The sequence below is a fragment of the Homo sapiens genome, chromosome 11 (genome assembly GCF_000001405.40).
Source record: "Homo sapiens chromosome 11, GRCh38.p14 Primary Assembly".
Lineage (NCBI taxonomy): Eukaryota > Metazoa > Chordata > Mammalia > Primates > Hominidae > Homo > Homo sapiens.
The window spans coordinates 126188435-126211688 of record NC_000011.10 but is presented as its reverse complement, the minus strand read 5'-3'; the positions used below and the strand labels follow the sequence as shown (position 1 = coordinate 126211688).

Here is a 23254-nt window from a genome sequence, read left to right as displayed (position 1 = left end):
TAGTCGCCCTTCTCCACGTGGTCTTGGCTCGCCCCGCCCTTCCTTGTAAGATGGCGGCGCCCAGGTGGAGCGCGTCGGGCCCCTGGATCCGGGGAAACGGCCAAGGTTGCGGGAGTCTCTTCACTCTCGTCTCAAAGCCATTTTGTGCCGCTGCCGCTGCCTCTACGGCCATAAATGCCCAGAGATTAGCGGAGAAGCTCCGAGCCCAGAAACGGGAACAAGACACAAAGAAGGAGCCGGTGAGTCCAAAGGGACCAGAACTCCCTAGAGGCAGTGCGCTCATTGGTTTCCCAGACGGGGAGTAGGTAGGAGGGTCCTCTGAGTGAAAGCGTGTGAGTCAATAGCCCGGACGCAAGGTGGGAGAATGGGGAGAAGGCGGAGGGGAGGGGTCAGTAAGGGTACGGTGTTTTCCCGTGAGCTGGATCTTTGGCTACTGTCAGGCTCAGTCCTAACCACTGCGTCGGTACGCAGGTTAGACAGATGGGTATCTCTGCTCTCAAATTAGTCGAAGGCGGCGCGGGTCTGATGCAAAGATAGTCATTCCCTACTCAGATTCTCACCCAGACCTTTATGGAAGGTCTTCTCCACGGCTTCCGCACCAGGCATTCCCCACGGCTCCTTCTTTCTCCCTAGGTGTCCACAAACGCTGTTCAGCGGAGAGTGCAAGAAATAGTGCGGTTCACACGGCAGCTGCAGCGAGTCCACCCCAACGTGCTTGCTAAGGCACTGACCCGAGGAATTCTCCACCAGGACAAGAACCTTGTGGTCATCAATAAGCCCTACGGTCTCCCTGTGCATGGTAAGGACCACGCGGGAAAGGTGGAGGAACCTGCAGCTGCTTTCTGCTACAACCGAGGAAAACTGAGACGTTACTTGTGGTGCACTCTAAAGCCTTGCATTCAAATTAATTAAACTTTTGTAAACTACCGTCCAATATAAGGAACCACCGAGAACACAGAAATAAATAAATAAGACAGTCCTCCCTTTCTAAACATCTGACAGTAAGCAATTCGTAGAATACGCTGTGTGCAGACTACAGGGATCGCTGTAGAGATATACAAAGGCTGTGTGGTTCTAGACTAAAGGTTATCTTCCATCAGAACTGGGAATGAGAAAATGATACATAAGAAAAAAGGGGGTGTGTGTGTGTGTGTGTGTGTGTGTGTGTATGTATGTTGGAGTATATGTAACATACAACCCCAGAGTGACTGGAATTTAGTGGACCTTCAAATGTCTTTCAACAGATGTTGCATGTAGTTGTCAGGGACAGCTGAAGTGAATCAGGAAAGATTGATTTAAAAAATGCATTTGTGAAAGAGGGAAAAGGCCCATTTTAGCTAGAAGAAGGTAATGCTTTTTGGGGAGATACGGAGATAGTTGTTCACAAAGACAAGGAATTAAATCACATCACCAAGTGTTTGTATAATTTTTTTCTCTCTTTATTTTCGCAACAGTTTTTTGCCTTTCCATTCCCCAATGAAGTTGTTTTCCAGATATTTACATTTTATAACGAGAAAGCAAAGTTGGAAAGAGAAGTAATGTGTCCAAGGTCAAAAAAATGGCTAGTAAGAAGAGTAGAGTAGAACCCCAGGAATGTCTAACCCCGAAGTCTATCCTCCTAATCACTCTTATTTAATGCTTCTCGAAGGCCTCATGGTTTTTCAAAGTATGTCTGAGAGGAAGCCACATGCTCTAGAATGGTGTTTCTCAAACTTTAATATGCTTCTGAATCACTTGGGCAGCTTGTAAAATGCAGATTCTGACTGAGTAGTCTAGGTTGAGAGCCTGAGATTCACTTCTAATAAGCTCCCTAGACATGCCATTGTTGCTAGTCTCTGGACCACACTTCAGTAGTAAGGCTCTAGAAAATATTGACAGTTTATCCATTAAGGGCTTTTCTCCCAAGGAGAGTTCTTTGGCGAGATCTTTTCCTGGCCGCTCAAACCTTTGGCTTTTTCCTTCTTAGGTGGCCCTGGGGTCCAGCTCTGCATCACTGATGTACTACCTATCCTGGCAAAGATGCTTCATGGCCACAAGGCAGAGCCCTTGCATCTGTGCCACCGGCTGGACAAGGAAACCACAGGTGTAATGGTGTTGGCTTGGGACAAGGACATGGCACATCAAGTCCAAGAGTTGTTTAGAACCCGTCAGGTGGTGAAGAAGTACTGGTATGAGGCCTGCTGATGGCAGTAGAGGTGGTATAAGTGGAGGCATTTCTTTCACCTATTTATTCATTAAAAACAGAAACTCCCATTAATAGAAGGCACTGCACTATGACCTGCGAGATTGTAAAAAATATGTGAAACAGCTTTGGTGCTTAGAATATTAAGTCTGATAGAACAGTGGTTCTTAATTCTGGTATACATCAAAATTATCAAAAATTAATTATACAAGCATGGGGTGGACATGGTGGCTCACGCCTGTAATCACAGCACTTTGAGAGGCAGAGGTGGGAGGATCACTTTAGGCCAAGAGTCGGAGAACAGCCTGGGCAACATAGTGACACCTTTTCTCTATAAAAAGTAAGAAGTTAGTCCGGTATAGTGGCACATACCTGTAGTCCCAGCTACTTGGGAGGCCAGGGTGGGAGGATCACTTGAGCCCAGGAGTTTGAGGTTACAGTGAGCTATGATCACACCACTGCACTCCAGCCTGGGTGACAGAGTGAGATCCTGTCTCTAAAGAAAAAAAAATTAATTAATTATACAAGTAATATATGATTTTATTCCCATGCTAAAAATAGTCAAACAACAAAGATCATGTGAAAAACTCCTGGAGAATCCACCCATTCTGCCATTCTAGTGTTTTCTCTTGAGGTAACAACCCATGTAATCAGTTTGGTTTTTTTTCCTCTGGTTCTTACTCAACGCATTTACATATATGTCTAGTGTATACAGTATACGCGTGTGCGGCGTACGCAGTATACGCGTGTCCGGCATACGCAGAATATGCGTGTCTGGTGTACGCAGTATATGCGTGTCTGGTGTATGCAGTATATGCATGTGTACATATGTATGTACACATATATATCTATATATATATCACATTGTACAATTTACATTATACTTTTTTCCTCTGCTCACCTCTATGTCTTGGGGATCATCCTGTGTTAGCACATAGAGGTTTACCTCAGTGTTTTTCATAGAAAAAAGATGCGTGAGCAAAAAAGAAACCCTCTATTCCCCATCTGTGCAGTTGCCTTCCCCAGCGTCAATCGCTGTGACTGGTGTCTTCTGTAAACTTCCAGAGTTATCGAGCATATATAAGCATATTACTGTATGCTAGTGTATTTCACACAGAGTTTTGTACCCTACAGTTTTCACTTGGATCATATATCTTAGAGCATTTTGTGTCATACGTTTAGAGCTGTCTCCTTTTTAATTGCTCTGTGAAATACCGCTGTATGGATGGATATTTAGGTAATTTCTCATTTTTTAGAGCCTATTGCAAAGAATATGTGAATGTATTTTTAAGATAAATTTCTAAAAATTGAATCGCTGGGCTGAATGGTTTGTATATTTAAATTTTAATAGTACTCACATTGCTCTCCACAAAGGTTTTTTATCAGTTTACATTCCCACCAGCAGTGGTGAGTACCCACCTCCCCTTATCAGCCAAAGCATTTTTAAAGGGTTTGCCACTGTGATAAGTTAAAAAAAAAAAAGATATTTTCTATTTCCTTGTATAACAGTGATATTGGCTATCAATTTACATGTTTTTTACATGTTTATTGGCTATTTGAGTTTCCCTTTTGGGAACAGACTGATTATTTCTTTTGCCTATTTTTCTACAGGGTTGTTTATTATTATTATTTTTTTTTATTTAAGACCGTGCCTGGCCTTTTTTTTTTGAGATGGAGTCTTGCTGTGTCACCCAGGCTGGAGGGCAGTGGCACAATCTTGGCTCACTGCAACCTCCTCCCTGGTTCAAGTGGTTCTCATGTTTCAGCTAGCTGGAATTACAGGCACATGCCACCATGCCCAGCTAATTTTTGTATTTTTAGTAGAGATGGGGTTTCAGCCTGTTGGCCAGGCTGGTCTTGAACCCCTGACCTAAAGTGATCTGTCCATCAAAGTGCTAGGATTACAGCGCTTACAGCTCACAGGCGTGAGCCACTGTGTCTGGCCCAGGTTGTTTATTCTTTTCTATTTGATTTGTAAGTATTCATTTTATATTTTGAATGTTAGTCCTTTTTAGATTACAGATTTTGCAGATACTTTGTGAATCTGAGGAGCCCTTTAAAAATATGTATGATTGAGACTTACCCACAGAAGTTCTCATTCGTAAGTGTGGTGGTTGTGGGGATTGGCATCTGTATTTTAAAATTTGATATACAATCAAATTTAAGAACTATGATAAGATTATGGAGAATGGAGGAATTTAGGACAGTAGCTAAGACCTCAAAAAGATGTGTGTTCAACTCTCAACTGTGTCATTTAACAGCTGTGGGGCCTTGGGCAGGTTATTAAATGTCCATAAGCTTTGTTTTCTTCATCTGAAAAATGGAAACAGTAGGATTTATGAGATAGTTAAATAAGATTGATTCTTGTGAAATGTTTAACACAGTACCTAGTTCATAGGAAAAGTTAAAAAATAAAAAATAGAGACTTATTTTTCTATTCAAGCAATCAAAATATTAAGACTATAAAATACATGTTATGTTATTTGTGAAAAATGTCCATTAAGGTTCAAAATTGGTAACCATTCTCGGTATCAGGTTCATGGAGGAATTGAAATCAATCAGTTGGGTCTTGCTGATGGAACATTCTTGAGTTGTAGTGTCATATCATTAGGAAGGACATTCTTGTCACAGAAGATCTACAAAATCTGTAAAATACGATAAAATGTACCAGATAGTAGCTGAAACTGAAGTGGAGTGTCTGCGTTGTGAAATAGTGTGTGTGAGTAGGATTTTGACCCCGTGGTTAGTGATTATACAACCGACCACCAGGTACCCAGATGGACTTTTCCATCATTGACCTGAAAGAGGCATAAATTTACAGACAGATTAAACAGTCTTCTACCTGTCTGTGAGGTCATGAGGTCATGGGAGGGAGAACACCAACAGAAGTGATTTGGAATGAGTTATTGAGTTGTGGTTGTGGTACCTATGACTTCTTTCTTTCTTTTTTTAGACGGAGTCTTGCTGTGTCTCCCAGGCTGGAGTGCAGTGGCATAATCTTGGCCCACTGCAACCTCCACCTCCTGGATTCAAGCGATTCTCATGCCTCAGCCTCCCAAGTAGCTGGAATTACAGGCACGCGCCACCACGCCTGGCTGATTTTTTTTTTGTATTTTTAGTAGAGATGGGGTTTCACCATGTTGGCCAGGCTGGTCTTGAACTCCTGACCTGAAGTGATCCACCCGCCTTGGCCTCCCAAAGTATTGGGATTACATGTGTGAGCCACCACGCCTGTCCCCTGTGACTTCTTCGGGTACAGTTCCCTCCTGTTTTACCTATGTGGCAAATGAGCCAGGAACGGTTCTCTGAATGTTTTATTAGGTTCATTCATCCAATTATTCATTTGTTCATTTACCATGCAGTCAGAATCTACAATCTTTTATTATTTGAAAAAAAATACAAAACTATATTACCATAATTTTATTTTAACTGTACATATCCATTTTTAAAGACTGGAAAGACCATGTTATTAATGTAATTTTTTTCTTTTTTTACCCCAAATATTCTACAATTAGCATGTATGACTTTAGTAGTAAAAAAGATAAGCTTGTGAAATCTATCAGCTCTCAGGCTAAGCATTACACCAAGAGAATCTTGCACGATCCTTCAATCATAAGAAATCACATGTTAGTGCAGAAGGTCCAGCGTGAAATCCTCTAAGTGGCCAAATCTAGGAGTTCTTCTCTGGCTTGGTTGGCTAAAGCAGTGATCTGTGTCACCCCCAGGGCCATCACTGTGCATGTCCCCATGCCCTCAGCAGGAGTCGTGGACATCCCCATTGTGGAGAAGGAGGCGCAAGGCCAGCAGCAACACCACAAGGTGAGCGAGCAGCCTCCCTGAGGCATGGGTTGCTGCTCTTCCTTGGGAATCATATCTTGATTTCTTTGGCTTCAGATGACATTGTCCCCGAGCTACCGCATGGACGATGGGAAAATGGTGAAAGTGCGGCGCAGCCGGAATGCGCAAGTTGCTGTAACTCAGTACCAGGTGCTCAGCAGCACTCTCTCCTCCGCCCTCGTGGAGCTCCAGCCCATCACTGGTGAGAGTGTCACTTTTCCGCAGTGGGATCACAAAACCCTGTGCCACCAGGTTTTGTCCAGGGCCTCGTTCTGAGCAGCTAGTAGTGTGGCTGACTTGTGTGAGAATGTGCTTCTGGTGCTGATCTGAGGCCGGGGACTCCCAGAGAGATGGTTGTGGCTAGCAGAAGAATACAAACAGGTTGAATGCCTCTATTTAAAACTGTGTAGAGTGGTTCCTCAAAACGATTAAACAGAATTATTGTAAGATCCAGCAGTTCCACTTCTGGGTATATACCCCAAAAATCAAATATTTGCACACATATTCATAGCAGCGTTATTCACAGCAACAAAATGTGAAGATAATCCCAGTGACCATTGGGGGATGAATGGAGAAACAAAATGTAGCATACACATAAAATAGAATGTTATTTTCAGCTTTAAAAGAATTAAAGGAAGGGAAATTCTGACACATGCTACAATATGGATGCACCTTGAAAACATTATGCTAAGTAAAATAAGCCAGGCACAAAAGGGCAAATATTATATGATTCCACTCATGTGAGGTACCTAGAAGAGTCAGATGTATAGAGACAGAAAGTAGATGGTGGTTGCCAAAATCTTAGGGTAGGGTAAAGGAGGGGAGATAAATAGGGAATTGTTGTTTAATGGGTCCAGAGTTTCAGTTTGGGAAGCTGAGAAAGTTCTAGAGATGGATGGTGGTGGTGGTTGCAAAAACAGTGTGAATACACCTAATGTCACTGACTTGGCATTTAGTATAATGCCAGTGGTTAAACCAGGAAATTTTATGTATATGTTACTACAATTCAAATAATGTGCAAATCAATACTACTTATGTAGTAAAATTACTAAAAAGTTGGGGTAATGGTAGACGGCAAGTTCATGATAATGGTTATCTATGGTGGAAAGAGGGAATTGTGGTGGGGAGAGGTACTTAGAGTATTTACGGCGTTTACTTCCTAAACTGGCTGGTGCTACATAACTTATAGTTTGCTATATTATTCGTTATACTTTATTATAGTTGGGACTTGGCCAGTTTACTGCACTTTGATGTAACACGATTTGAAGCAGATGCCAATACTGGTATTGTTTCTGTAGCTCCTCACGAGTTTTCTCTCTTTCTCTCTCTCTCTCTTTTAAGGAATAAAACATCAGCTTCGAGTTCACTTGTCTTTTGGATTGGATTGTCCAATCCTTGGTGATCACAAGTACTCAGACTGGAATAGGTTGGCCCCCCAGGTAATACTAATTTGACCCAATGTGCAGCAGATACGGGAGAGAACTTAGGCGTTCCTTTTCTTAAAACTCTGAAATGAGTTACAACAAAGCCTACTGATTGTCTTCAGACATGATACCAAGCTCATTATCTTGATTTTAGAGAAATTTAGGAGCAGTTGGTTACTGTCCTTGTGGAACTGCAGGATCTGTTAGTGAAAAGCTTACTGTTACATTTGTTTATTCAGATTTTGTTGGGAGGCTGTGGACAAGGGGAGGGGTGTTTCTGAAGGCTGGGAGCAGCTTTTCATGGTGCTACTAAAAAACCGCAGGGAAAGCCTTTTCATCCTTATACCACAGCCCATTCTCTTGTTAGGCCAAAAAGCACTGGCCAAAAAGAATGTCTTGGTGTGGTCATTTTTCCCTTACCTGAGTTCTGAGCCGTTCTTAGACATGCCACTGAAGCAGACTCTCCATTACTGTGTCTTCCAGGGGGTTAGTTTTGGTTCCCTGTAAGTAGAAGTGCCCTGACCTTGCATGTTCGTCAAGGGTGGACTGTTGGCCTTGCTCTCAAGGGTCTGTCCTTTCTTTGTATAGAAGCTGTCTGTGGGCACCCTGAAGAAGCTGGGGCTAGAACAGTCGAAGGCCCGCTACATCCCCCTTCACCTGCACGCCCGGCAGCTGATCCTGCCTGCCCTGGGGTCCGGGAAGGAGGAACTCAACTTGGTCTGCAAACTTCCTCGCTTCTTTGTGCATTCCCTGCACCGCCTGCGTTTAGAGATGCCAAATGAGGATCAAAATGAGAACAATGAAGCCAAGTGTCTGGGAGCACAGTGAAGACCATGGGAGCACCCTGGCACCTGGGAGCACAGTGAAGACCCTGAGAGCATCCTGGCACCTGGGAGCGCAGGTTGGCCCCTGAACTGTTCTTTGTTTACAGGACTCTGCTAACTTCTCACTTGGAACAGACTGCGTAAGAGCCAGGTGGGATAAGGTAAAGCAACTCAGCTGCTACAGGGCTTTTAATGGAGAACAAAGTCTATTTACTGATAGTTTGGCTGCACTGTGGAAAAGCCTGCTGGAAGTCTCCCTGCCGTGGGCTCTCATTGCCAATATGGAACAGAGCCCAGGGCCAGGCAGACTGGGGCAGTGACTGGAAAAGGAAAACTAAAGGTCAGAATCCGGGATCAGGAACTGTTTTTATCCAGCAGTGAAGCTCTTGAGCTCTTAGGAAGGTTCCCGTGGTTGGAAAGAACATAATGGTTAACAAATATCACAGCATCCAGGGATTGCCCAGCTATAGTGTGGGTGCCCTACTGAACTCTGATTAGGGAACCTGTATAAGGGTATTGAGTGTGAGGTTGAGGTGGGACATTTGCTGAGCAAGGAGAACCGATGTGAATGGCAGGCAGATAACATGCACACATGAAGCTGGCTGGGTGTAAGGCAGTAGCGGGGAGCGGCATGCTGTCTAACAGCTGTTAGCTCCAGCTGGTTGTTGCCATGTGGGAATGGATTTTCTCATTTCTTCAGAGAAGCTGGAAACCTAGATATTTATGTGAAACCTCCCAGTGTATTGCCAACTAAATCAAATTTTTAAAGATGCTTAGGCACCTAAGCAAATAATACTTAGAGGTTGAATTTGGTCTACAGGCTAGCAGTTTGCAGTCTATGTTTAATGAATGGTATAGAAGTTTGGGGAAAGGTGCCATCTTGAAAATTCTGGATCAGTGGTTGGCATTTTCGCTGCGTGTAGTATGTATCCTTTCTAGGCTTGGAGATGGCTTTGGTTGGTCCGTGAATGTAGTTATGAGAGTGCTGCCATTAAAAAATCAAAAATCTCTGTTGTGGAAGCGTATCTTCTGTTCTTAGGTCTCAGGAAGGAGAGGGCTATACTGAACACCATTAGGGATAGATGGAAATGACCTTGGCCTCCCTGCTCAGCTGGTCCATCTAGTTTCCACCTTGTTTCTTGCAAACAAATACACCTCACACTACTTTTTCTTTCTGACAGAGTTGGAGTGACAGCACAGTTAGGGGGGTACACCCCGGGACAGTCTTTATATGTTCCCTCTGTATAGATGATGCCACTTTCTAGCCCTTTCCCTGTCTCCATGGTACCCATTACTGTGCATAATAAATTTAACTTTGAAAGCACAGACGAGATGACTATATTTGTTTATATAAGACCTAAATATTTTTGCTGTTATTTCTGTTTCTAGTAAACCATGCTAGTCAAGAAAAAGGAACAAGAATGTGACACTTAGGAAATAGTGATAATTGACATTAATTCAGGGAAACAGATGAACAGGAATACCCACAAGAATGGAGAAGAGGCTGGGCGCGGTGGCTCACACCTATAATCCCAGCACTCTGAGAGGCCGAAAAGGCCGAGGCGGGCGGATCACCTCAGCCCAGGAATTCGAGACCAGCCTGGGCAACGTGGTGAAACCCTGTTGCTACAAAAAATACAAAAATTAGCTGGGTGTGTTGGCACACGCACACCTGTGGTCCCAGCTACTCAGGAGGCTGAGCTAGGAGGATCACCTGAGCCCAGGAGGTTGAGACTGTAGTGAGCCATGATTGTGCCACTGCACTCCAGCCTCGTGACAGAGTGAGACCCTGTCTCACAAAAAGGAGAACAATCTTAGAGGAACAGATGATGGAAATAAAAGAACTGGAAAATGTAGAAAAGTAGGAGCTAGTCAGGATACATTTTGGAGAAGTAACAGATGATTTATATTCTCATATATAAATATGGTCTCCTCCAAGATGTAAATCTAGTCTTTAATTTGGCAAACTGAATATTTACTAGGCTGAAGGTATCTGGGGATATTCACTCATCTCAGGGAGCTCTCTTTAGCTGGGAAAATTCAGTTAGCTGTGTGGTTTACTGACAAGTAAGTGTGAGGCGGGACTGTTGTTCCCCAGGCGGGCACGTTGGAGCTAGACTGAGAACCAGCTGTGTCGTTCTGTCTGCCCGGCTTTGTCACAAATGCTGCCCTACTGTTCTTCGTGATTCTTTAGCACTTCAGTGCTGGGTTTTGTGTTGGTTGCTGAACTGGGAGCTACCAAGCTAGTGACAGTTGACTTTTTGAGAATTCCTAAGCTTCCCTGGGATATGGGGTCACCACATTGGAGACTGGGGCAGATGTCTGCCCTGCTGCACCTTCCCAGACCCTTCTCAAGCCGAGGTCAGCGGCTCTGTGCCCCGCAAAAGGACTGTCTTCTTTAGTGTCGACTGACTCATGGGGGTGCTTAAGGACCAGGACAACAACCTCATATAACCTAGTTGATCTGCAGCTTTTAAGGGTGCAGGGAATGTGATTATAGCTAGGCAGAGTAAGCTGAAATGCTCTTGTATGTTGATTCGTTAGCCATAAAAGTATGATTTTTTAAAAATGTGTTTGCGTTTTAAATAACTTTTATTTGTAAATATGGAATGGCCTTTTAAAAATTAATAGAACATTTAAGCACACCATAAGAAATATCAAATATTAGGTCATGTCATCTGCTTGTAATTAGTTACCATCTGGGCTTGAGAGGGACCTGGTTTAAGAAGCGTGGTAGACTGGGCATGGTGGCTCATGCCTGTAATCCCAGCACTTTGGGAGGCCAAGGCGGGAGGATCGCTTGAGCCCAGGAGTTCTGAGATCAGCCTAGGCAACTTGCCGAAACTCTGTCTCTACAAAAAAGTACAAAAATTAGCCAGGCATGATGGCACCCCTGTAGTCCCAGCTACATGGGAGGCTGAGGCAGGAGAATCACTTGAGCCCAGGAGGTTGAGGCTGCAGTGAGCCATGCTGGCGCCACTGCACTTCAGCCTGGGTGTCAGAGAGAGACTCTGTCTCAATACAAATTAAAAAACAAAACAAAACAGTAAAGCAGTGTGACAGATTTGTCTGGAGTCAGATCCAGTGTTGGGGGTCCCAGGGTGCTATGGTCTGGGAACAGATGCTGCTCCGGATGTGCAGGGAGGACAAGGTGTGGGAATCTGCTCGTCACGTCAGGCCGTTTAGCCCAGGACACTGGCCACAGAGGTGGGACCCAGCCTCTCTGAAATGGGAGTCGGGCAGGGGTGGGGCCCCCGCTGGTTTCTAAACCTTGTTAAATGCAGATCTGTTGAGGGTTAGGGCTTCAATATATGAATTTTGAGCGGGGAAGGGAAGTGGACACAATTCAGTCCCTAACACTAATTATTATTTTGATATTTTCCCCCAACTATTTAACAACGTAAAGCCCATTCTTAACTCACAGGTCATACAAAAACTTATGGCAGGCCACATTCAGCCCACGGGCTATAGTGTGACTGCTTATATTTCTTGTAAACGATGCTTCTCGAGATAAAGGGACGGGAATGTGACACTTAGGAAGTGTTGATCTTTGACTTTAATTCAGGGAGACAGATGAAGAGGACCCCTGGTCTTGTGGGTGTTTGACGAAATCCCAGTTACCCAGGAAGGCACCACAAAGGGACCAGGCACTAGCCCACATGCCACAGGTGTCAGCTGGGAAGACGGGGAGCAGCTTGAAGAAACCGCGTAGCATCCCACACTGCTGCCGTAGTTGGGCAGGCAAGGGTGAAGGATGATGAAGTTCTTCCTTTTCTGTGTTTTCTTAGGCCTAAAGAAAGGATTAACATTTCTCTGATTCTTAGTGGGATCTGGACTGCCTGAGCAGCAGGTCTTGCTAGGTACAGTGGCTATCTTTTTTTTTTTTTTTTTTTTTTTTTTGAGACAGAATTTCACTCTTGTTGCCCAGGCTGGAGTGCAATGGCGTGATCTCCACTCCCCACAACCTCTGCCTCCCGAGTTTAAGCGATTCTCCTGCCTCAGCCTCCCGAGTAGCTGGGATTACAGGCATGTGCCACCATGCCCGGCTAATTTTGTATTTTTAGTAGAGATGGGGTTTCTCCATGTTGGTCAGGCTGGTCTCAAACTCACAACCTCAGGTGATCCACCTGCCTCAGCCTCCTAAAGTGCTGGGATTACAGGCATGAGCCGCCGTGCCTGGCCCAGTGGCTATCTTTAATTACTGACAATAATATAAGAGGAATTTTACCCCAGGTTAGTGTGGCCTGAGAAATGGGTTACACAGCAAAGGAGGTTGGAATGTGCCTAAAATGAACTGCATCTATTTTGAAATACTGATTAGAGCCAGCTAAAAGATATGATTTAGTGTTAAGTCATATACAGTAATTAGTATAAGAAAATGGGCTTCTTAAATTTCTATTTTTATCAAAGTTCTATGTGCACATGATTTAAAAAATCAAGAACTATTCTGCTCAAATGACTCTGGTTAAAAAAAGAATAAGAAAAAATCAAAATGAAAAATCAAGAACTAAAGGCTTGCCATGAAAAGCAGCAGCTCCTTGCCCACGTAGGGATTTTGTTTGCTGTGAGCTCTGGGAGGTGCTTGTGCTCAGCAGAGGGGGGAGGCCGGCTCTCCCAGTGCCCCTTCTGGTGGCAGCACTGGCTCTTCTGCTCCAGGAGGCAGCTTTTGGGTAGCTGGTTTTTTTCTGTGCTAGGCATGCCCAACCTAATAAGCCCACAGAGCACTTTCTCAATCCTCGTATCACACGTCTTTGCATTTGATAACCGAATTGCCCACTCTGAGCTCCTCACTCGCTTTGATTCCATGAACTCCTCCTGCATCTCCTTGTCTGACCTCCTTCCAGGCTCCTTGAAGGGCCCCAGCATGGTGCCCCCCAGAGCTCCATCTTGGCATCCTGCCCCTCTCCCAGAGGGAGAGCTGGGCCAACTTGGGAAGCCTCTACCTGTGTGCTGACGACTCGCTAGTCTGTCTCTGACCTTGATCTCCCCCTTGAGCTCCTTATCTTCACATCCATCTGCCTGTGATCGTCTCCCCTTGGGAGCTCCCTCTCCGGGCCTGTTGCTCCTGTCCTCTTACCTGCCTTAGTTTAGATGGCATCACCAGAGACCTGGGAATCACCCTTAACTCCTCCCTCGCACCAGTCCCCAAATCCAATTAGCCACTAATTCTTTGCCAGTTCCATCTAAAACCCTTCTCTTAAAATGCACTTCCCTCTTTAATTCTAATATCTCCTGAGCACCAATTTCACCGTCCCCACCCTTCAGCTATGATGGGATAGGTCTGGGAGGTGGAAGGGCATAGTGGGTTAGAAATAGGATCATAGGCAACCTGCTAGTTCCCACCAGAAACCAAACTCACAACGGGGTGTTGAGACCATCCCCAGGTTCCTGGGGATAGAGCAGTGTGGGAGGGGGTACCTGTTTTAAACAAGACAGGCAAATAGAGCAGCCTCCCACCATGTTTTCTAGGTCTGCTCTCCTTGGCTCTCTGGACTGCTTTTAGCCAGAGTGCCTGGTAGGATATACAAAAACATGGCCTCCTGCTTGTGCTTGTGCAAAGCATGCCATGTGGGTGCAGACAGCTTCTCCCAGTGCGGAGCAAAATCTGCTGGCTCAGGGCAATGTAATTCAAACACCAGCTACCCAGCGTTAGGCCAGATGTCACAAGTTAATGGCACATTCCACAGGACTTGCCTCACTTCAGACACCAGCTGCAAGCTCTGGGGTTTTCCAGCCACCTGTACTTCTGACCAACTAGCTATGAATTCAAGAGTGTTCACAAACCCCTCAGGTTTGATCATTCACTAGAATGACTCCCAGAACTCAGCAAAGCACTAGCTATGCTTACTATTATGGTTTTGCTGTAGCAATAAAATGATATGAATCAGGACCAGCTAAAAGAAGAGATGCATGGGCAAGGTCTGGGAGAGTCTCCAGCATGAAGCTACCGTGTCCTCTGCCCACCGTGTCACCCTCCCAACACATGGATGTGCATCACCAGCCAGGAATGTCACCCAAGCCCTGGTGTCCAGAGTTTTTATTGGGGTTTCATTATGTTGTCGTGGTTGAACAATTGGCTACATTGTTGAACTCGGTTCTGCTGGGTTCAAAGTGCCAACCCTCTAATCACATGGTCGGTCTTTTTGCATGGCCAGCCTGAAACTACCCATCCTGAAACTAAAGCCCCACCGTGAGTCCTCACATTTAATAGCGTAAACTATTAGGGCTCATCATGAATAACAAAAAATGTTAACATCACTTGGGAAATTCCAAGGATTTAGGTTCTCTCTCCCAGGAACCAAGGACGAAAGCAAGGCAAATTATTATAGAACTCTGAGTTTTCCTCTCCATCCCCCACTCCCTTAGGCGTCTCTTGATGTCCTCTCTTAGGGATCCCTTCATCTTGCTGTCCCCCAGCGAGTGACCAGCCTAGGTGGCTGTCTGCATAGATGCCCCTGTTGGTTGTGGCCTTAGGATCCTTTCAGGCAAGAAGCCTTGAGATATTTCTGTTCACTTCCCTCCTGGCACCTGCTGTGGAACACTGTCATCTGCTGCCATCCTTGCAGTGGGAAAGGGATTTTAATCAGGGGTGATTATACAGATGGGTGAAGTTCTTCTTTCCCAGGTATTTTCTTTTTTTTTCTTTTTTTTTTTTTTTGAGACGAAGTTTTGCTGTTGTCCCCAGGCTGGAGTGTGATGGCGTGATCTCAGCTCACTGCAACCTGCGCTCCCTGGGTTCAAGTGATTCTCCTGCTTCAGCCTCCCGAGTAGCTGGGATTACACGTGCCTGCCACCACACCTGGCTAATTTTTTGTATTTTTAGTAGAGACAGGGTTTCACCATGTTGGCCAGGCTGGTCTCAAATTCCTGACCTCAGGTGATCCGCCCGCCTCGGCCTTCCAAAGTGCTGGGATTACAGACGTGAGCCACTGTGCCCGGCCTTTCCCAGGTATTTTCACATGCTGTGAGGGCACGGCCATGGTGACTTGTACTTAGTCAGATACACCCCGAAGGCTCAGCTGGCCCCTGCCTTCTCACCACCGTCAAATCTGTCCACACACATGCCCCTACCTCCTAGATGTATCTGCATCCCGAACCCCTGCATTGTTCATATGATTTCTCAAGGACTAACCACCCTCCACACCTATTGGGCTGTTTGCCTACTCCTGGCTCACTCCATCAGACCTTCAGCAGAGGACTGCAGAATGCTTTGTCAGGAAACAGGAGTGTGGAGACCAGTGAGGCGGCTGACACGGTCCTCTATGCAACATGTGACGGTGGCTTCCACTAAGCTGTCACTCCCCATTCCCACTCCCAGCCGTAGACAACTGCTAATCTATTTTCTGGAAATAGAAGGATTCTCATTTCCCTATAGATTTGCCTATTTTAGATGTTTCATACAAACAGAATGATAGAGTATGTGCTCCTTTGCCACTGGCTTCTTTGAGTTAGTGTCATGTGTCCAAGGTTCCTTCACAATGTAACATATGTCACTCTTTCACTTCTTTTTTTGTTGTTTTTGTTTTGAGACAGAGTCTCGCTCTGTGGCCCAGGCTGGAGTGCAGTGGCGTAATCTTGGTTCATTGCAACCTCCGCCTCCTGGGTTCAAGCGATTCTCGTGTCTCAGCTTCAAAAGTAGCTGGGATTACAGGCGTGTGCCACTATGCCCGGGTAATTTTTGTATTTTTAGTATAGACAGGGTTTTGCCACGTTGACCAGGCTGCTCTTGAATTCCAGGCCTCAAGTGATCCACCCACCTCGGCCTCCCAAAGTGCTGGGATTACAGGTGTGAGCCACAGCACCTGGCCAGTATTTTACTTCTTTATATTGCTGAATAATATTTCATTGTATTGATATACCAAATTTTGTTTATCGATTCATCAGTTGGTGGCTGTTTCCACTTTTTGACAATTGTGAATCACGCTGCTTTGAACATTCATGTATAAGCTTTTATGTGGATGTGTATTTTAACTTCTTGGGTACCTAACTAGGAGTGGAATTGCTGGGTCGTATGGCAACTCTGTTTCTAGAGCTGCCAGACTGTTTTCCAAAGGGGTTGCACCATTTTACATTCCCAGCAACAATGTATGAGGGGTCCAGTTTCTCACCAGCACTTGTTATTACCTATCTTTCTGATTACAGCCATCCTAGTGGATGTGAAGTGGTTTCTCACCGTGGTTTTGATTTGCATTTCACTAGTGGCTAATGATACTGAGCATCTTTTCATGTGTTTGGTGACTATACATCCTAAAGAAATATCTATGCAAATCTTTTGCCCATTTTTAAATTCAGTTATTTGCTTTTATTATTAATTTGTAGGAGTTCTTTATATATCCTGGATTCCACTTTTTTGTTTGTTTGAGACAGAGTTTCGCTCTTGTTGCCTGGGCTAGAGTGCAGTGGCGTGATCTCGGCTCACTGCAACCACCGCCTCCTGGGTTCAAGTGATTCTCCTGCCTCAGCCTCCCCAGTAGCTGGGTTTACAGGCATGCACCACCATGTTCAGCCAATTTTTGTATTTTTAGTAGAGATGGGGTTTCGCCATGCAGGCTGGTCTCAAACTCCTGACTTCAAGTGATCCGCCTGCTTTGGCCTCCCAAAGTGCTGAGATTACAGGCATGAGCCACTGCGCCCGGCCTGGATACCACTGTCTTATTAGAGGTATTGTCTGCAAATATTTTTTCCCTTTGTGTTGTCTTTTCACTTTCTTGATTATATTATTTGTAATAGGAAAGTTGTCGATTTTGATGTCCAATTTTTCCTTTTGTCGCTTGTGCTTTTGGTGTCATATCTAAGAAACCATCACCTAATACAAAGTCTTGGAGATTTCCTTCTGTTTTTTTTGTCTAAGAGTTTTCTAGATTTAGGTCTATAATCTTAAATCATTTCTGTGTGTGGTATAACGATGGTGTCCAATTTTGACTGGGTAGCCAGCCGTCCTAGCACCATTTGTTGAAGTCTGTTCTTTCCCAAGTGTAATTTTTTTGTAAGTTGTGATTTTTGATGGTTACACTGGGTCAAATATAGACAATTTCATAGGGTAAAATGTAGTTTTATTACTGTATTAATATGAACGCAGTAAAATGCATTTTCTAATGTTGCCACCGGATGGCAGCAGTACTCCAGCTTTTATCCCTCTCCAGGCTAAGCTGCTACAAAAAATGGGAACATGATTTAATCAAGTATGAAGTATCCCGCACAAGAGCCTTACCATCTTTTTCTAACCCCCTGATAACCCTCACCGTGGCTACTCCAGCGTTGTAAATCTCGGCCCCCTACTTTTTTAGCTAGCCTGACGCTGGGTTTTCTGTTCTCTCGTGTAGGGTGGAGTAGTAGGAGGTCATGTTTTGGGCTCTTTGAGTGAAGTTGAAATAGAATTTGATCCCTACACACTCAGTGAGAAGAGTGTTACATGTTCATTATAAAAATGTAGAAAATATAGTCAAGCTGTCCTCAACTACCCAAAAGCCTAATAGGAACAGGCATTTACCCACTACGTGAGTTCAGTGTAGCTAAACGTCAAGCATTCTTAGCTCTTTGCTGATTTAATTTTGGTTTAAGGTAGTAATAAGTTGCTATCTCTGCTGATCAGATGCACTAATTGATAGTTATGTACAATTTTCACTAAGCACAATCAGGTAAATGGATTATTTCCCTGCATTATTTACTAAATAGTGGAGAGAAAGTAAGAGAGTGACAGCTTGGATGCCTCTTCTACAATGATGTGTCTTCGACACGTAAGTGTGTGAGTGCCAGCCCCGGCTGTTCCCTTCATCCTCTGCTGTTCTTGGGTGACGAACTTCCCCAGGGCAGGCCTCACTCCTGCCATTCCTGCAGGATCCTCTGCCGCTCCCACGGCCTGTCTGACATGGACTGAGGGGTCCTCAGACCCCTTAGGTCTCTGCACATCTCACCTGCTGCGCCTGTGGGCCTCTGAACCCCAGCATCAGAGCTACCCGAGCACCCTCTTTCCCCAAGGCAAGCTAACCAGACTGTCCCAGGGAGCAGTGAGGGGGACCGAGAAGTGGGCAGCCAAGACAGCCTCCCATGCAGGGAGCCCACCGAGGCCCAGCTCCGACCTGGAGCCGCGTCCTCTTTCAGCAGGCTGGGAGCGATTACCATCTGTCCATCAGCAGCTTCAAGGAGCCAGTGATGACCTGGGCCATTCAGGGAGCCAGCCTGGGGGAAGGGGTTCCCGCTTTGATGTGCTCAGCGAGGTCAGAGAGCAAGCAGGGGGGAGGCCCACGGGGAGAGCGGCTGGCACTGTCTCCTCTCCCATCCAGGTTTCCGGGAAGACGCCAGCTTGTCCTCATCACCTCTTTCATCTCTCCGTTCTCTGGGGCTGGTTCTTGTCCTCTCGGGCCTCCCTGCCGCCCAGGTGGACAGCCTTGGGCCCCTCATCCCAGACCTCCAGCCTGTGTTCCGAGGAGCTTGTGGTGGCCAGACCCATCCACCCACTTTCTCTGTAGTTGGCTTTAAGGGGCATGTGGTCATCACTTCATGCATGCAACACCACTCTGAGGGTCAAGCGAGAATCTCCCCCTTGGAATCAGGGGCTCCCCATGCTGGAAGGGGACTCAGGCTGTGGGCATCACCCCCATGGTGGGATGCTCCAACTCCGTTGCTAACAGACAGCTGCCAAGCCTGGTCTCACTCACTCACAGCTGCCAGGGACTCACTGGCCACTGAAGGTGCCACCTTCATGGGAAAGAAGACAGAGGAAAAGAGAGGGTGGGAGCTGGAAGGTGGCAGGAGGACAGGGAGGGAGCGAGCCACTGTGCCCTGGGCTCTGTGCGGTCCTCCGAGCCTCTGTCTCACACCAGGGCCTCCTTCAAGCCGTGTCTGAAAGGCTGCCAGCCCGTCCTGGCCCTGCCGGGGAGTCTGGCCTTTTTCCTGCCTAAAGTTACAGAATTTTCCAGAAGTATCCTTGGGTTTATTTTCTGGAGTTATAAGCCAGATTTCCCTTGTCACCCTACTTCTCCAGCCTAGGAAAGAAAATTCCACGAGAGAAGGCAAGCAAGAGGCTTAGAGGGCCTGTGATCACAGCTGAGACTCACTCTTCCTTTCCCTACTCCCACACGGACCCCCGAAAGCCAACACTCGTGGTAATTTCTGCATTCGACTTTTGTGGCCTATGTGGAGCCTGTTAGGTTTAAAAGCTCCCAATAATAGCCTTGTGAGGGATATACTATTCTTCCTTGTTTTTATTTCCATTTTACAGATGATAAACATGAAGCCCAGAGTGGTCCACTGATTTCCCGAGGCCACATCTGTACACAGCAGAACTAGGTTTTGACCCATCCGTCTAACTTGGGAGCCCCACTCTTAACCTGTGTTTCTCCAGTGAACCAGGTGCTGAGAGACCAAAAGAGAAGTCCCGATTCTCCTCTCTCCAGCCTTCCCAGATCCCAGCCAGGGATGAGCGAGTGTACACTTGGAGCAGGAAGGCAGGTCTCCTAATGGAAAGACAAGGCAACTGGGTTCTTTTTAAATTCTGCCGCTAGCTAGCTGTGTCACCATCTTTCCAGACCTCAGTTTCCTCACCTGTAAAATGGGCAGTTGAGACAAAGTTGATGATCTCAGTCTCTAGATAAGACAATCTCTGAGATCCTTTCTAGTTTCAAGACCCTGAGTCTGGTTATGCCAAGATTACTTATTCGGGAGAAGACACAACATCCCTAATCCCTTACTGGAACCCACAAATTCAGCATCTCAGAGAAGGGCAGTGTAGAAACTCAATGTTAAGATCCAGTTTAGAATCCAGACTGTACTTGGAAGTGAAACCTCCCAGAAGGGACCTGGACATCGGGCCTTTTACTATCCTGCCCGGGGCCTTCCCGTCCTTTCTGGGGCCTGGCATCCTGCACGGTGCCTGGGCTGGGAAGGACGGGCCTGGCATCCCAGGCAGTGACTGGTCACACTGCAGCTTGCCATAACAAAATATCACAGTTTGCTGGGGCTACCGTAACGAAATATCACAGCCTGGGTGGCTTAGACAATAGAAATTCATTTGCTCATGGTTCTGGAGGCTGGAAGTCCAAGATCCAGGTGTTGGCAGGCTTGGTTTCTCTGGAGGCCTCTCTGTTGCTGATGGCTGCCTTCTCTGTGTGCGCTCACACAGCTTCTCCTCGGTGTGGGCCTGTGATCTGATTGCCTCTTCTTACAGGGACACTGGTCAGAGTGGGTGAGGGCACGTCCTCGAGGCTCCATTTCAATGGACTCACCCCCTTAAAGGCTTATCTCCAAGGGTCGTCACATTCTGAGGTACTGGGGTTGAGTCTTCAACACAGGAATTTGGGAGAGACAGTCAGCCCATAGCACACACCAGCCACTGCTGGGGAAGGTGGTCACAGCAGCAGAGGCTGGCTTCTATCGGACACTTGCCGCGAGCCAGGCACGGTGCTGGGGCTGTGCCGTGTGAGCTCATTGAATCCCGCAGTGCTTCCACGAAGGAGATATTTCAGAGATGAGGAAATCAGCTTGGGCAGACTGCCTGAGGGCATGCACCTGGAAAGCCAGGAAACAGGCCTGGACGCACGGACTTACCCACGGTACTATGTTGCTGCCCGATTAGATTTCTAGCACTTTCTCTAGAGGAGGAGGGTCATGCGGTTACGCTCTTTGGGGCCATTAGTCTGTTTTTCTAGAGTCCTAATGGGAATGAAGAACAGCCCTAACTCTGCTATTCTGACTGCAGTTTGGGGGAGAACTAGGAAAGGAAAAGCAGAAAAAGGGGGTCAGTTCCTCCACACTGCATATGGAGAAGGGCATTCCAAGCTGAATTAGTGGCTTTGACTCCGGAGAGGGCAGGCCATGCCCAAGTGGTTGTTAGAACCTCAGGAGCACATGTGAGGAGCCCCCAGGCTAGCTTAGGAGATGGCCTTGGAAATGGGAGGGGGCACAGTTGTTTCCCAAACTGGGCGGGACTTGGGGAACCCCCATCTGGGATTGTCCACCATGGATGTGAAGACCAAGGGCTCAGGGAGTGAAGGTCATGGCAGATACCCCCAGCCAAGGTGGCTGGCCTGGGAGTGGGAAGATGCCAGGAGAACACAGCATGGCCAGCAGCTCCCTGGGGCTGTCTGACAGCTCCTGAAGGGCCTCGGGTTCCACACGGAGTGTGGGGTGGTTTGAAGGTGTTGGCATGAAGCCAGTGCTCCTTGGTTCCTGGTGTGGGGGCCAGAAGCTCAGAATACTGGGGCTAAGGGAACCCCCTACATCTGACATCAATTCTTTTCCCTGTCCCCAAATGGGGGCTGGAGTGGGGAAGGGTTGAGGTTGTCATGTCCAAAGCTCTTTCCTTCTCATCCTCCTAAGCACCCAGCATCACTCATCCCTGGACAATTTAGCTGCCATCAGCACCTGCTGTTTGATGCAGAAAGAGGGGAAGGGGAGGTCAGAGGAGGGAGGAGAGCAGAGGGGACACCAGAGGCTTTGTTCCCAGGTGCCCACCTCCTAGGGAGGGAGGGGTGGGGGTCAGTGGCAGCCCCATGCCCTATCTGGCAGGCAATCCTGTGTCTGAGTTTGGGAATTAAGCTGTCCTCGCCTCTCCAGCATGAATGAGGCCTGGGGGACTGTGACAAGAGCTGTCAGTGCTGGTATCCTGTGCCAGTAATCGCTCAAAAGGCCAGGCAGCTCAGGACGCCTGGGAAAGATGGGATGGAGAGGGCAGGGTCCAGGGCCTGCTGGGGAGGGGCCAGACAGGAACACAGACACCTTTGTGTGCACCTGATCAGTGCCAGCCACTGGCTGCTTCCTGTCGGAGGGGCTTTGTCCCTGTCCTGTCTCCCATGCCTGGACTTTAGGCAACTCTGGGCCTAGGGCCACATCCAACCACACTGTGTTCTGTCCCCAGCGCTTGCTCGGGGCCAGGCTCCGAGCTTCCCCTGAAAGCTTGTCCTGGAGGGGATCGAACTTCAAGGCGAGGCAGGTGACGGTGAATGTCTTGACGGCCCTCAGCAGATGGGGCTTTTACTGAGGTTGAGTTTCTTTCTGGCAAGAAGTTTTGGGGACCAGGGTTCTAGGCCGTGGGCCCCAGCCCAGCTCATTCCAAAACCATTAGGCCAGGTAACCGCAGCAGCACAGTGGGGCCAGGTGACAGCTGGAGCAGCTGCAGACAGCCTCAGTCCCCAGCGTGCTGACATGTTAGAAGTACACGTCACTATCTCAGCAGTCAGCCGCCACATCTGGAACTGCTCTCGGCCTCCTCTAATTGCCTCATTATTTTCCGAGGAAAAGCGCCCCCGTCCCCAGCTCTCCGTTGCTGTCCCTTCCCTCTGGCCTGTCCCGAAATCCACCTGAATGAGCCCCAGACCAGGGTTTGGGATTCTATGGGGGAGGGGAGGGCATCTCTCCAACTTGCAGGCCCTAGAAAAGAGAGAAACCACACATGGACCTGGCTTTGTCCCTGGTGCCCGGAACGCAGGGTCCTTGAAGAATTCAGGTGGATCCCTTGGAACACGCAAGACTCTGACCCCTCTTCCTGTCAGCAAGTGTCTGTCGTGCACAACATTGTCTGAAACTAGGGAGAGGGCAAGGAAGCAGAAGATACAGTTTCTGCACACAGTGCACCTGCCATCTAGGTGGAAAGACAAAAAGGAAGTGGAGAACCAGTCAGGCGAGGTGTGGCTTATAATCCTGACCGCATCTCATTTGTCCACCCATCACCTAGGGGCCCGGGCTGTGTGTTGGCCGTAGTGGGTGTCGAGATGCAGCTGTAGCCCTGTCCTGGAGCACCTGACATGTTTCAGAGAGATTGCAGGAGAGGCACCCAGGCATCCGGAGATCACTAGCAAAATGCCGATGCAGCCTGGGTGGGGAGGGGGCCTTCCTGGGGACCTGAGAGCTTTCAGGAGGAGAGAAGGGAGGGGCATTCCAGAGGAAGGAGTGCTGTGGTTTCTAGATGTGTCTGCAAGCAGTGTGGTGTGTTACTGCAGTGTAGAGCTTGTGGCAGGGAGCGACATGGCTGGAGAAGTAGCAAACTTGGG

The 23254-nt window shown here is 47.1% G+C and overlaps 1 protein-coding gene across 4 annotated transcripts, besides 1 other annotated feature; it reads left to right on the top strand.

The window, feature by feature from the left end:
* Positions 25-254: an enhancer, noted in NCBI's record as "active region_5703". NCBI's record gives its function as "activates an Ori minimal core promoter by ATAC-STARR-seq in GM12878 lymphoblastoid cells {active_cell/tissue: GM12878}" and the evidence as "EXISTENCE:reporter gene assay evidence [ECO:0000049][PMID:35858748]".
* RPUSD4 (RNA pseudouridine synthase D4) lies at positions 39-9593 on the top strand. 4 transcript variants are annotated; one of them, NM_001144827.2, is made up of 7 exons: positions 39-239; positions 634-799; positions 1967-2168; positions 5908-5981; positions 6150-6221; positions 7361-7458; positions 8032-9593. In NM_001144827.2, exons 1-7 carry the CDS (start codon positions 51-53, stop codon positions 8269-8271), a joined length of 1041 nt encoding a protein of 346 aa, NP_001138299.1. In that variant the 5' UTR covers positions 39-50; the 3' UTR covers positions 8272-9593. The 4 variants fall into 4 exon arrangements, with proteins under 4 accessions (NP_001138299.1, NP_001350445.1, NP_116184.2 ...); NM_001363516.2 differs by having other exon boundaries at positions 5908-6001; positions 6077-6221; positions 8035-9593; NM_032795.3 differs by having other exon boundaries at positions 5908-6001; positions 6077-6221.
* Positions 9594-23254: the final 13661 nt, after the last annotated feature.

Coding starts and splice junctions, on each gene's coding strand:
- RPUSD4 (NM_032795.3), top strand. CDS start 51: ATGGCGGCGCCCAGGTGGAGCGCGTCGGGCCCCTGGATCCGGGGAAAC. Junction 240..633: donor AAGACACAAAGAAGGAGCCG/GTGAGTCCAAAG, acceptor CTTTCTCCCTAG/GTGTCCACAAACGCTGTTCA. Junction 2,169..5,907: donor CAGGTGGTGAAGAAGTACTG/GTATGAGGCCTG, acceptor TGTCACCCCCAG/GGCCATCACTGTGCATGTCC.